Source organism: Homo sapiens, chromosome 7 (assembly GCF_000001405.40).
Source record: "Homo sapiens chromosome 7, GRCh38.p14 Primary Assembly".
NCBI lineage: Eukaryota > Metazoa > Chordata > Mammalia > Primates > Hominidae > Homo > Homo sapiens.
The window spans coordinates 40,721,130-40,736,266 of record NC_000007.14 but is presented as its reverse complement, the minus strand read 5'-3'; the positions used below and the strand labels follow the sequence as shown (position 1 = coordinate 40,736,266).

Genomic DNA, 15,137 nt, shown 5'->3' with positions numbered 1-15,137 from the left:
ATTGAAATATTATAATATATTATATATTATATATTGATATATTATAATATATTATATATTGATATATTATATATTGATAAATTACATATATAAAATTAATGCAAATTTTAGCTATATATTAGATGTGATCACACTGTATGTCTCTGCCTCTCTTGTATTTCCTATGTGTGTGTGTGTCTCTCTGGGTTGAGTTGTAATTAATTTATTCAGATCTATGTATCCAATCATGAATTCTCTCTTCTATCTAATCTACCATTTAATTTGCTGTGCAGTTGTTCTTAATCCAGAGATGATTTGCATTCTGTTTTTCTAAGTGCTTAAGGGCACCTCTGAAATAGAACCACATTAAACTTAATTTTCTGTTTGGTGGTTTTTGGGCCAAGTAGAATTAATTACTGTCCTATATATAGGACAGTAGATTTGTAGATAGCTCATCTCCTAGCCCCAGAAAAATGAGAGATTTTCAAGAACCATGGTCAAAACAGGTTAGAATATCTACTGTTTTTTTCTTCAGTCTTCAATGACAGGTTTTAAAATTTGTTTGCTTTCTTTTTTGTTTTGTTTTGTTTTTTACCTAGTTCACCCACTGACATTGCTGACTTTTGGATGTCCGACCTTTATTTTGAAGTTTCTATTCTATCTCCCACCTACTGTGGACTTCAGGATTCTTGTAATATCCTCATTTCTTATGGCCCATAAAGTTCAGGTTCTAAGCTAAAGAGTATTAGCAAATGCTGGTTCTAGTGCTTGCTTCTCTGCATGCATGTTTTCTAATCATTTTTCTACTGGCAGGATTTCTCTGGTCATATAGTCCCCCATATTGTCAGAAACAGAGGTTCTCCAGATGTCACTGTATCCTCTTTAAGCTACATTTGAAGTCTTAATTTGGTGTTCCAACCTTTCCCAAGACTAAGTAGTCCAGAAAATACGAAAAATAACAACTATTAAATAAAAGAGGAAATACAACAGAATCCAGTGAAATACAAAGGTGATTTATGAACTTTAAAGTCAGGATATTCGAAGTCCCGACTTACATCTTTAATTCTATCCTTCTTGGCAGTGGGGCCTTTAATTAAGTTATCCCAGAACCAAACTACAAACTTTCAAGTTAAGAAAGCATTCTTTCCCCTCCAGCACAGGAGTCCACAAAGCCCTGTGAAAGGAACCATTCCGAGTGGTGGTCAGCAGAGTAATTTTGTGTGTGCTGTCTTCACTTAGCAAGAACCAAATAACTCCTTCATTCTTAGGAATTTTCTAGTTGCCCAGTGGGACACCTGTGAGTTTTGATTAGTCCTAAGAACAGGTCAGGAGGTTGTATATATACTATATTTCTGACTGGATTTAGTCCTCTCTTCCCCAGAGACTGAAGATTCTAGGCAAGAATTTGGGAGTCCAGTCTAAGAGGCAGAAGCTATCTACTTTATTAATGAAGTGATGCTTCATCCTCTTCAGAAGCCATTGAGGCAAACATTTTTCTTATTACTCTTCATTTGTTGATCAAGAACTCATCACTTAAATGTCTGCCAACCATTCTATTTTTTTGCAGGGACCAAAGTAACAAAAAAGTGTAAGGAGGAAAAATAGTCAATTGGACAAAAATACAGCATAACAAAAAAAAAATGCACATGGATTCTCTGAGTTGGCAGAGTTTTCTGTGTGACTTGTCAGGGGTGGACAGTCCAACCAGCATGAATGTAAAGCAAGGACAGAGTGAGTGTGAGAGGACCATACTTGACACTTGCCTAATATCTAGGTGGCAATTTGTATGTGCCAAGACACAGTGAAACAGATTTTTCATTATTATCTCTATTTTATATATGAAGACACAGATCTGAGGAGGTAAAATGACTTGAGTAATAATGTAAGTTAAGGTAAAAGGTGTCTATCTGACAGCAGAGCCTATGATCTTTCTGCCACACTTGTGTCTGTCTCTAAAGTGTTCAGTACGACTTTCCACTATAATAAGATTCTAGTATTGCTGATCTGAGTGCAACACAGACATAAGAAAAAAGAGTCATTGGGGACACAGACTATTCCAAATTATTGCCATTAGCAGTTTGTCATTTCTTCTGCTGGTGCAAGTGCTGTCTGAGAAAATTAGGTATAGTAAGATGCAAGTAATCTTTTATGGAGACCTTTCTCTCTGTCTCCTTGAGGGTAATGTGTTGTAAACTCTACTGAAATTAAATCTCCTTTGGGATCGAATTGCAACAAGGCATCTCCTTATTTGATGTAGCAAAGCTTTCCCTTAGTAAGTCCACAAGAATATGAAGGTTGTAACAAAACATTAACATCTGCTTCCTTAACAAATTTTCTTAATAAAGTCATACATGCCAAATATGTTTAAGACTCATTATCACTCTTGATATAGTATGATAGAAGTTTAACCAGGAAAGGTTTTCAGCATCAGGAAGCCACAAAGGAAACGATGTCGTGGCACATACAATATCTGAACAGCCACAAGGCCAAGCAGCGGTTGATAAATGTGCCGATTACTTAGTCCTCTGCCATGAGGAAGCAATATCATTTGTTTGCTTTATGTCAACCATTCTAGAGAACCATAACCACACAGGGAACAATCAAGTGACAGTCCTGTGGCTACAGAAAGACACGGACACTGCACATGACATCCTCCTTGTGCCTGATTCATTATGCCAAAAATTTGCTCAGGCTCAAAAAGGCCAGAACCATTATGATAATTAACACGTTTCTAAGACTTAAAAACACTAAGGTGGTGGTCCTAAAATTCAATAAACTCAGTGTTTTCATTTTACATTTTGGTTTGCTTTTCCTGGGAATTTGTGTGGATGGGGAAATACTTTGCTTGTTGCAGGCAGATAGATGCATGTTTGCTCTAGGCCAGGAGATTAAGGAGAACTATTTTAGGAAGGAGCCTGTGTGACCAGGCCTGAGGGAGATAATACTGATAAGTAGAGCAGGGTCACTGATAACTTTGTGGGCAAGTGACCCTTTGGATATGCCAAGAGATGTTATCAGGGAGAAAGGGCTGAGTCATGTATATATAATTCTGGCTTACTCTAGCTGGAGTGTGGGGCAGAGGGGTAGAGATGGAAATACATAGAAACTAAAATGGAGTGACATGAGTCCAGTCAGGAGTCAAGCCTGAGCTTCTCTCAGACACATCTGTGTTCCCAGCTGACTTGGCTCACAATTTCTTTTTTGTTTGTTTGTTTGTTTGAGATGAAGTCTTGCTCTGTCGCCCAGGCTGGAGTGCAGCAGCACAATTTCAGCTCACCTCTGCCTCCTGGGTTCAAGTGATTCTCCTGCCTCAGCCTCCCAAATAGCTGGGATTACAGACATGCGCCACTATGTATTTTTAGTAGAGTTGGGGTTGCACCATGCTGGCCAGGTGGGTCTCGAACTCCTGACCTCAAGTGATCCACCCATCTTGGCCTCCCAAAGCGCTGGGATTACAGGCGTGTTGGCTCACAATTTCAATCAGGTGTCATCAACCTGCCTTACAGACACACTGTTTCAGCATGGATAGTCACATGGATATCACACTATCACATCTCAACACCCAACCAGAAAAGTGGTTCCTGCCTCTGCCCTGCTTAAGTATCAGGGAGAGTGCTGCCTTCTGAGTTCCAGCTGTGTGGTGTGTCTTCTTATTCAGATCCATGCTTTATCTTTTGGGCCTGACACTTGACACTGCCACTCTGGTTTGGACATTTTGCTTTTGCTCACAATAAAGACTTTCCTTGAAGTTGAACCCTATGTCCGATGCCCACCTTACTTTGCCTAGTCCTTGAATCCAACCTTACACTGCCTATAACAGGTTGAATAATGGTCATCCAAAGATCTCAAGTCCCACTCCTGGATTATGTTACCTTATTTAGAAAAAGAGTCTTTTCAGATGGGATTAAATGAAGGATTTTAAAATGGTGCAATTAGCCTGGATTAAGGGAGTGAGCCCCAAATGCCATCACCAAGTGTTCTCATAAGAGAGGCAAGGGAAGATGTCACAGATACACAGAAGGGGAAGCAGCAATGTCACCAGCCAGACAGAGAATGGAGTGATGCTGCCACAAGCCAAGGAATGCCTATAGCCTCAGAAGCTGGAAGAGGCAAGGAAAGATTCTCCCCTAAAGCCTTCATAGAGAGTGCAATGCTGCCAACACCTTCATTTTGAATTTCTGGCCTCCAGAACTGTGAGAGAATACCTGTTGTCTTAAGCAGTCCGGTTTGTAGTAATTTGTTACAGCAGCCCTAAAACAAACTGTATCCTAGCTCCCAAGATATATCCTCATAGATTATCAGGAGCTAGAATTCTGTTTAATTCATGTACCCCTATCTAAACAAATAACCCCTCCATTTAAAAAACAAAGACCGGAATCAATCTTCTGGTCCAAAAGAGACTGACTTGCTACATAATGGAGAAAGGAATATTTTGAGCAGCACATAATCATGATGAAGTCAACTAGATGGTATTCTATTGCAGCTATTTTCATAAAGAAATATTATTGTTTTCATCCTATGTTTCACTCTTTTGGAACTAGCTTTGCCACTCTCAATAACTTAGGAAAAACTTAAAACCAAATACTGTTTTCACACCAAATTTACATTTCTTCCACTTTAACGATTTGTTTAGGCAAATGACCTGAACTCAGGCGCAGGTTGGTGATTCCTAGGGTGGGGTGGGTATGCACCATGTAAATGCAGATTCATGCTATCCTCACTCTTTCAATTCATTTCTAAGATGTAATTATTTTCTGAGGATTCCTGAAATTGACTTTCTTGGGTTTTTCTTTCAAGTATAAAGGCATAATTGATAATGCTGTTTTTTCCTATAAATAAGAATATTCCAAAACCTAAATAAGGAGATGAGGAACAGGTATTTCAAAGGATCCTGATCTTATCTAAAATAATTGTGGACTAGTAGAGGGAACACCTACCAATTTTGGTTCTGCCACTAATCAGATGAGAGGGACTGAGTAAAATTCTTTTAACTTCTCTGGACTTCTGTCTCTGCACTTTTAAAAACTGGACTATTATGTTCGACCATGTAGCCTCGTTAAGATAATTAGATGAATTGAAATACTTTCACCTAAACACCCTTGAGAAACTGTCAAAGTCAATAGGGCCACCCAAAACTCATTCTCACCCTTTCTCACACCTGCTCCTCCCAAATTCCCTACCAACCACTAGCACTCCCATTCACTCAGTCTCCCATGTCTCACACCTGGGAAGTCTCCTTGACTTTGCCCTTTCTAACAACTTGCCACTTTTGTCCTTCAGTCAAGTTAAATTCCTTACCAAGTCTATTACTTGTCCATTCATTGAAGCATTATTCACAATACCAAGATATGGAATCAATATTAGGTGTCCATTGGTATGTGTGTATACAATTGAATACTATTCAGCCTTAAAAGAGAAGGTGATTCTGTCATTTGCAACAACATGGATGAATCTGGAGGACATTATCCTAAGTAAAATAAGCCAGGCATAGAAAGACAAGTATCACATGATTACACTTATATGTGAGATCTAAAAAAGTTGAACTCACAGAAATATAGAGTAGAATGGTGGTTGCCAGGACCCAAGGGAGAGGGTGGTAGAGAGATATTGGTGAAAGGACACAAAATTTCAGTTAGGAGGAATAAATTCAAGAGATCTATTGTACCAAGTGGTGATTATAGTTAATAATAACGTATTGCATTTTGAAACTCACTGGAGAGTAGATTTTAAGTGTTCTCACCCACAAAAAAATAAGTATGTGAGGTATTGCAGATATTAATTAGCTCAACTGAGCCATTACACAATTTATGCATATTCCAAAATATCACAGCATATGTGAGAAATATATATCATTATTATTTGTCATTAAAAAATAAAAATAGACTGGGCATGGTGGCTCACACCTGTAATCCCAACACTTTGGGAAGCTGAGGCAGGTGGATCACTTGAGGTCAGGAGTTTGAGACCAGTCTGGTCAACATGGTGAAACCCCATCTCTACTAAAAATACAAAAATTATCTGGGCCTGTGGTGCATGCCTGTAATCTCAGGTACTCAGGAGGCTGAGGCAGGAGGATCACTTGAACCTGAGAGGCGGAGCTTGCAATGAGCCAAGATCATGCGATTGCACTCCAGCCTGGGCAACACAGCAAGACTCCGTCTCAAAAACAAAACAAAATACTATCTGAATGGACTCTCCTGTGTTCAAATCCAACCACGTCATTCCCCTGCTTCATGTTCTTCCCTGGACCCTCTGTATTAGCAGGACCGAGCCAAGCAGCCCAAGGGCACCGTTTATATTTTCCCTGGCTTGCACAGTGTTTTATAATCATTTTCCATCTTAATTGCCAAGATTGAAAATTTGGAGATTTCACATACAAACCCGGATTTATGAATTTCCATGAAAAATAAAAGGGTATGGATGCAACCAGACCCTTGGATACAACCTACATGAGCTGAGAGGCAGCTCTTCTCTTTAGCAGTGGCGTGTGTTTTCCTGCTTTCCATAGTACCCACCACTCTCTCTGCTGGTTACCCAGTATGATTCACTCACTGATTTCATTTGCCTAGCATCTGATGGTATCTGAATTGTAACTGTTGGTCTACAAGATAAAGTCCAAAATTTAGCATGGACCAAAGGCCCTCAGATTCCCACCCTGGACTACTTTTCTCATCTCATCTCACCCAAATGCAACATCAAACACTTGTAGATTCCTGAACAGCACACTCTTTCAAAAAATCTCCTTGATTTTTAATATGCTTCCACTCACCACCACCTCTACCACATCTCCAATGTTATCTTCTTTGCAAACATGTGTCCTGCAAGACTCTACTTAAATGGCACTATTTTAGCGAAGCTTTATTTGGTCAGCTCAGAACATCTATTGTGCTTCCTCTTCTAATGCTACACACATTATAGAATTTATGATGTTGGTTTCCAATAATCTGTGGACATATAGTCCCTGAGAAAAGGGGACATGCTCACTGACCTTTATATCCCTAGCCTCTAGCACAGTACCTGATACATACAAGTGTTAATATGTGATGGCTAAAACAAACAAACAAAAATGTTGGAGTACTTATCCACTACTTGGCACGCAGCAAGCACTAATAAATTTGGTTTGACTTGGAGTAAATAATATTAGGTATCACAGACTAGAATTAAATATTAATGAATTTCATTTTGGATCCAATCAAAAGAGAAAGTAATAGCATCATAGTGTAGTGTCTGACTGTAGGCTCTAGAGTCAGACTTTACTGATTAAAATTCTAGCCCAGCTACTTGTCAAAATGGTTTAATTATCTGTAAATAGGAATTTTAACCTGCTTTCAAGGATATTGAGATGATTATATGACTTACAAAACACTGAGGAGCATTTGGCACACAGCATTAAACAAATTTAGCTGAGATTATTGTTATTGCAATTACCGTTATGGTTATTGTTTTGTTATATAAAGTCTTCTTCATCAAGATGTCTCCCTTATGTAGCCACTCCACAGACTGGACCTATAGAAGAGCACTGCAGTGAGACAGCTATATTCCCAGGTCTTCTATATCACTTACATAAGGTAAAAAATATATTTTTTCAGACAAGTCATAAAGCCTTCATTTCCCACAGATAGGTATTTGAAGAAAGTCCTCCTTTCATTCAGTTCCAATTTAGTCCTATATAAATACATGTAATGGAAGAAAGGCTATTCTAAAACAACAATAAAATACCATCTACCTATAACATATAAATATGTATATTCTTTTATTTTTTCTTTTTTTGAGACTGAGTCTCCCTCTGTTGCCCAGGCTGGAGTGAAAGGTGCAATCTCGACTCACTGCAACCTCCGCCTTCCCAGTTCAAGTGATTCTCCTGCCTCAGCCTCCCAAGTAGCTGGAATTACAGGCACCCACCACTATGCCCGGCTAATTTTTGTATTTTTAGTAGAGACAGTGTTTCGCCATGTTGGCCAGGCTGGTCTCGAACTCCTGACCTCAGCTGATCCACCCGCTTCAGCCTCCCAAAATGCTAGGATTACAGGCATGAGCCACTGTACCTGGCCTAAATATGTATATCCTTAATAAGGACATAACTTTCAAGGGTGAAAGGAGACATATAATTTTTACCTTGAAGGTAAAGGTATAAATTTATATAATGGGTTTAGTCAATATATATACAAAGAACTTTATAAATACTCTTTGACTAAACAATCCTAATATTCTTCATCTTTTTTAAGGAGATAATTTTAACAAAGAAAAAAACCTTTATGCATAAAAATGCTCATCTCAGAATACTTGTAGTATCTAATTGGTAAGAACCTGTCTAAAACTAGAATAATAAATAAATAATAACACAGATATATGCTAGAACAGTGAGGAAATAGTAAAATTATGTTCACAAAGTTGTTTAACAACATGAGAAAGTTATTAAGTAAAAATGCATAATGTAATTTTATATGAATAAACTAATCCCCAATATTAAGAGGGAAAAACTGAAAGGAAATTAACACTTCTTTCTTAATAGGCACTAGAACTACAGCATTTTCCTAGGTTTACAAAATTCTCTTTCTGCACATAGTTACTAAACATTTCAACTTTATGACCTATGCATTCAGAATTAGACAAAAAGTTACATTAAATTGACAGGTACATTGTTTATCAAAGATCAAAGTTTGAAAAACTCAGTTCTAATCTGAACTGGATGGCTGTATAGTGAGATATAGTTATTTCTTGCTGAGCTTCAGCACAGATATCAGACATGAAGTACACAACAATGTTTTAGGTGGAATAGTCTTCCATTTGTCAATAAATGAAGGTATATCATAAAAAAACTATCAGGGCCTTGGAACTTGACTAAATAAAAATTGCTTACAAGAGAGGAGAATGGTCCAATGGGCTAGATTCCACTGCTGAAGATGAAGAAAGATGCTTGGCAAACAGTTTCCAAAATGCTACAGCTTTATATCAACTGAGACTAGGGAATCAACAACTGCGACTTAGAAATGCAAAAGTGAATTTGTATACCTTGGATAAGCTGAAGAATAACTTCCAGGGGACAATAATAATAGATTTCCTGCTAAACAAATCATGACACCTTTGTACATAGCATTGAAAAGTGTACCGTGAAAGGCAAAAAAAGGAAATCTCACAGGTCAAGAAATCCTTGTATAGAGAAAAAGTAACTGCCTTAGCTAACAGTGAGCAAAGGAGTCACTAATAATAACACGATAGCATGACTACTAATATATTAGTCATTATTTGACAGCCCATGGGGGCCTCACCTATTTCTCCAAACACAATATACATAGTCATTTTAGCCTTTTCAATCACACACTACTCTGTCTCGAGAGCTTTGCTTAAGTACCCCATTCATCCTTCTCCTGCCATGCAAATGTTGTGCTTTGTTTATATATCATTCTTTGTTGTCTTAGTGCACAGTCCTTTGGCTACGGGTACTAACCCCTTCCCTGATGATCACACTTGTTCCTCCCACGAAAATTCTTATTCCAAGCAGCACCTGTGCAGTCAGGTACAGTGTGTGTCCTCACGGTGGCGGTAAGCCAACCCATTGTCGGTGCCCTCCCAAAACAGACCTGGCAATTCGGTTGCGGCGCCTCAGCTTTCCTTTCACCCTACTCTGAATGTAATATCTCTTCATGTGTGATTACACTGAAATATAAGATATTGGCCTTTATAAACACCTAAGAAACTGTTAAGTGTCTTAAGTATGCAGGTTAGTACATATTGGGTAATACAGATGACCCTTGGACAACACAGGTTTGAACTGCACGGATCCACTTATGCATGGGTTTTCTCCCGCCTCTGCCACCCCTGAGACAGCAAGACCAACCCCTTCTTTCTGCTCCCCCCTCAGCCTATTCAATGTGAAGATACTGAAAATGAAAACCTTTATGATAATCCACTTCTACTTAATGAATAGTAAATATATTTTATCTTCCTTAGGATTTTCTTAATAACATTTTTTTCCTCTAGCTTACTTTATATTAACAGTAAGAATACAGTATATAATACATATAATATATAAAATATATGTTAGTGATTGTTTGTTATTGGTAAGGCTTCCAGTCAATGGTAGGCTAGTAATACAGTATTTGGGGACTCCAAGTAATACAACGTGGTTGTCCTGACACCGTTCCTGCGTAGGAACCTAATCCCTGCATTGTTCAAGAGTTAACTGTAATTGCTAATATTAAGTGAGTATTTATTACGTGTTGAGATTTTATATGGATCATTTCCCGACTTGGGGCAGCCTGGTGCCAGGGCCAAAACTCTTGACACTCATTTTATATTATCTTCTAATGACTGCCTTCCTGATTGCAAGATTCTCTAATACTTCGCTAGGAGCTCTTTGCCATCCCTCTCTATAAAGTTCTTTACTCACTTACTCTTTCTGGTGGGTCCCTTGTCTAAAAAAAAATCCTTAAAAATCAAGGCTATAAAAGGGTTTGAGGCAAGATAAATAGGCAAAATCCGATTTCTCCATGAAAAGAGTCTAGGATTTTCATCAAGAACACAGTGATTCTGGGAACTACAGATTTGTATTAACTCTGCTGAGAAACGGGATTTTAAGGTAGGTATAAACAATTAACTATAGGGTTTCAAGAGATTACCATTAGGAGGAAGCATATCAGCTTCCTCATAGGGGACAAATGTACTAGTGAATTTGAATAGTTAAAAGAGAGTGAAAAGAAAAAAAAAAAAAGAAAATAGAGGTCCCTACTGCTCAATGTCTGTTATGACCCTCAATGTGTTATGTTGGCCACCTACGTAATAGGTAGAGTTTCAACTAGAAGGAGAAACTTTAAAAGGAAATATGAGCATGCAGAAACTCAAAAGATTAAAAGTGGGCAAGGGTTCACGGAAAACGCATTGTGTCATTTGGGTATTAGGATTCAAAGAAGATAGTTTCAGATAATGCATACCATAAAAGTATACTCTAAAGAAAGAAGGTCTCGCATTTTTCATTTATTCATTCAAAATAAAGAGTCCTCTATATTACTGCTTGGCACACTAGCAATGTATAAAAATCCTCTAGAGAATTGGCTTAGGAGTTCTGCATTCCTGAGACTACAGGTGATGCTGATGCTTCCTGAACTCATCTTCAGTAGCAAAATTCTACATTCTATAACCGCTTGAGAACACTACCATATGTGTTAAGTCCTGGGAAGAGAAAGCAAGGCCAGGCCTCAATGAGAAGTGGGGAACAGGATCTGAAAAGAGCCCCACGACAGCTCCTGTCTCAGCAAGCACTCCTCCTGTCCAGCATTTCTAACTCTCAACTGTTTTGAGTACTTCTAGAGCTTTTTACATGGCTATAAAAATGGGCTACTGGCAAATGCATCAAAGTCCCCTTCTACAGCAGCAGAATAGATGTTTAAAAGGAATTTACTTTTTGTTTCCTCAAACCTTAAATAGCAATGTTTGTTAAAGTTTTATCTGTTTCTAATTTGACCTTTTAAAAAATAAAGGATATAGAGTTGGTTCCCACAGAAATTTAGCTTTCATGCATGACATAAATATACATATGTAACTTATATGTGTATATTTATATATACATATATTTAAAATATATATTATGTATAAAAACTTACATATAATACATATTCAAATTGCACTGTACTGATTTCAGAAAAAGAACAGTAAACCACTAGCTGTGCTTAGATCTCAGGTTCCAGGACATTACATTTAACCCCAGACCCCCAGAGCTTTTTTTTTTTGAGATGGAGTCTCACTCTGTCACCAGGCTGGAGTGCAGTGATGCAATCTTGGCTCACTGCAAGCTCCGCCTCCCAGGTTCATGTCATTCTCCTGCCTCAGCCTCCCCAGCAGCTGGGACTACAGGCGCACGCTGCCACGCCGTTAATTTTTTGTATTTTTAGTACAGAAGGGGTTTCACCACGTTAGCCAGGATGGTCTCAATCTCCTGACCTTGTCATCTGCCCGCCTTGGCCTCCCAAAGCCCCAGACTTTCTTAATAAGAGACAGAAATGACCAAGAATGCCACATAGACACAAATAGGGTCAGATGTGGCAATGGTCATTTGCAATATTCTCCTACTTGATAGTTCCCCCATGTGAAGAAATTCCTCTTGTATGTTTTATTTTCTCCGATTAAGGGAACAGTATAGGCAATCATGTGCTCATTTTTTTTGCCTTAATTTAGAGTTAAGTCCAGTTCTCAAATGATCTCATACCAGGCCTTGGTCCTTAGCATAAATATCTTTTCATTTTCTTCACATGATGTCTGGTCTCATTTTTTCTGATCTTAATTGTATTGCTCTGTTTCACATGTGTTTCTTATAAACTGCCTTGAATCCTTTTGAGAAACAGACAGGAAATACACAAATATTGATCCATTTGTTGATTCAACCAGCAGTTTCCAAGGGCCTGCTAGGTGGTAGGAACTGGTGATAGAGGTGAACGAGATCCCATATTATGAAGATGCAGACAGTAAGCAGACAATTATGATGTATAGTGGTTAAGGGCTGAATATCTTCAATATGTGTCTGAATTAATGGGATATAGTATGAAAAACAAGTAACTCTAGTGTTTCCTGGAAAGTCATACTTTTGTTTTTTTCACCAAAAAGTCTTAAAAACAAATTAGAGATTTCCTGTGGTTTCGTGATTTAATTCAAAGTCAGAATCACAAGTAGGAGTCCATTAGAAGGAATTAGTAGCAGAAGCTGTTCCAGTTAAGTCAAAGTAAACCTCATTCTTCTTTAGAGAACTGGGACTTCAAGGAGACAGAATATTCCAGAGGCTAAGCAGTCATCTGCTGCATTATCGGTTGAGGAATTCGTGCATTTTGTATATTTCTGGAAATAGACGCAAAAAAGAAAGAAAAAGCCGCAGCCCCTACACCCGCTGGAAAGGGGAAAGATACGGAGAAAGAGAAGAACACTGCTAAACACCACTAGAGTGGGCACAGAAGCAGCCACTCCCACAGCCATCATCTGCTTTCAAACCCGTGTCAACTGCTGAGGAAACTCAAATCGGAGAAGTCAAGTCAGTTTCAAAGGTCACAAGGAAATGGTGGGACCAAGATTCTAGTTCCTTTACCTCCTGCTAAAATTGGAGATTGTGTATACAGAGCCAGCTGAGTGCCTAAGGTCCAGCCTCACATAAATGCATCTCGTGTGCTTATGAAATAGTATGACCTCCAGTTTCACAAAGCACAAAGCTTTGGAAGCACTTTGTCATTTTAGTTAAGTAGAAGTTTCAATAGTCCTGTAAAAAATGTTCATGAAAACTCTGCCAGTTTGCTTTCTGTATTTGGACTCCAAGCTAGCTGATCTCGGAAGCAAATTACTTACACAGCACTATTGGTAGATTCATTTCAGATGGCAAACATAACTTGAGAGTACAGATGTTGTTTATGATTTATAGGGTTTATAAATAATGTTATCAGATTGAAGGATATCGCTTCAATGTGTCACACAGACATTTTATTGACCAAGAAAATAGAAATACTTCACCGCAAAGGGGCAATTTGAAAAGATATGATAAGACAACAGAAGTAGCAATATGGTAATTCAGCTTAGAGAAGAAACAGATAGGTATTGAACATTATATTAAAATGTATTTCCCAAAATATGTATAACTATTATGTATCAGTAAAAAATAATAAAATAAAGCTATAGTGGACAAACCATGAGGTTTTAGAAGGCTCACTCCATTTTCTGTCTGAGCCAAATGTGATTTGAAAACAGCCAGTGGAGAAGCAAAAAAGTCCATTTTCATGCAACTGGCTTGACTGCTTTTTGGAATTGACTATATTTGGTCTAAAACTGACTGTTTTCTCATTGAATGAGCCAACATTCCCAAGGAGCATTTAAATGAACTATATCGTCACAGCATGGGAATGGCTGAGCACTGCACCAAGGTCTATTTTCACTTGATTATATGTGTATTTATTATGTAAAAATAGAGCAAAATATGACTCTGCCAAGAGACTCCCCTACATTATAGTATAAGCGTGAGCAAGGATTTCTTTAAATTGAAGAGCTGTATGCTTGCTTTGTTTTCACAGCTGTCAGCCTTTTTTTATGCTGAAAAATTTTCCCCAATTGGTTGTTATTCATCATACTTATTATTTAGGAGAGTTGACTGGTAGCAAAATGTGCTTGTTGGCAACTCCAAAAGAGGAGGTCCTCTACCCTGTCAATTTGTGGTGGACGAAATCATTCAAAGACGTTAAAAAAAAAAAATTACTGGGAGAATGGTCCAAACACAGGCCAGCTTTCCTCATATTTAAATGGATAGGTTTTCTTCCTTTGGTTGAAGGTTTCTATAAGAACTTCTTTCATCTGGGACCAGAATATATGGATGCAATACGAAAATCTCCTATGAAAGGACATTCTTGAAATGTGTCCAACTCTAAAAGTCTCATTGGGAATCATATTTTCAACTTCAAGCTATGTAAAATGAAGTTTCAAAGCTACCATCCCTTCACAGATTGTACACATATGCATAAACAGAGATAGAAGAAACTTTATCTCCACTGTAGCAACTGCAAACTAGAAGACATATTCCTCAGAGGCAAAGAATGTCCATCCTAAAACAGGAACAGAATGAAGCCACTTAAGAAAATGGTCAATTATGGAATGTTCTGTGCATAAGTATGTCCATTAATTAAGAAATGAACTGAAATTACTAATGGATTTCATAATGGCCACCAACCAGCTGCCAGTTGGCTGTAGCTTGGTGACAGATGGTAGTGACTGATCTGGACTAGATTTGACCTAGAGATAGTCCATCATTTATTAAATTGCAGTCCCAAATAAAATTCCATGCATTGCAGCATTTCACCATTATGTCTCACAGTGAGATCCTCTGAGAGCATTCCTTATCTGCCGCCACTGTTGCAGACAGCAAACTATTCAAAAGGCTTAAATATAACACTCAGTAAAGAAAGTTCATAATAACTCTCAGGAGATGAAAAAAAATGCAACTTGAATGACTGTCACTTGAATGAGGCATAGTATAAAATGGCAGCTCTGTTTCATGCTAATCTGGTTACCTCCCAGCATTGATATTTACACCTTCCCCTCCTTTAAAAAAAAGAAAAATCAAGGGGGTTCTCATTTACACAGCAACAGGCAGATAGTGGACTGTTTGGGTTCTGCTTTAATCCATCAACACATTCTCA

The 15,137-nt window shown here is 38.1% G+C and overlaps 1 protein-coding gene across 17 annotated transcripts in view; it reads right to left on the bottom strand.

The window, feature by feature from the left end:
- The window catches only part of SUGCT (succinyl-CoA:glutarate-CoA transferase), a 903,812-nt gene that overhangs the window by 302,550 nt on the left and 586,125 nt on the right, over positions 1–15,137 (bottom strand). For 9 of the 17 annotated variants that reach the window (XR_007060156.1, XM_047420840.1, XM_011515525.4 and 6 more), the window contains one exon: positions 7,408–7,485. The exons of the other annotated variants lie outside the window; for them this stretch is intronic. Coding sequence is in view for 8 of the 9 variants with exons in the window: in XM_047420840.1 (XP_047276796.1) it covers positions 7,408–7,485 (78 nt within the window). In the remaining variant the exon portion in view is untranslated. The remainder of the gene's footprint in view (positions 1–7,407; positions 7,486–15,137) is intronic. 17 annotated transcript variants of the gene reach the window in all.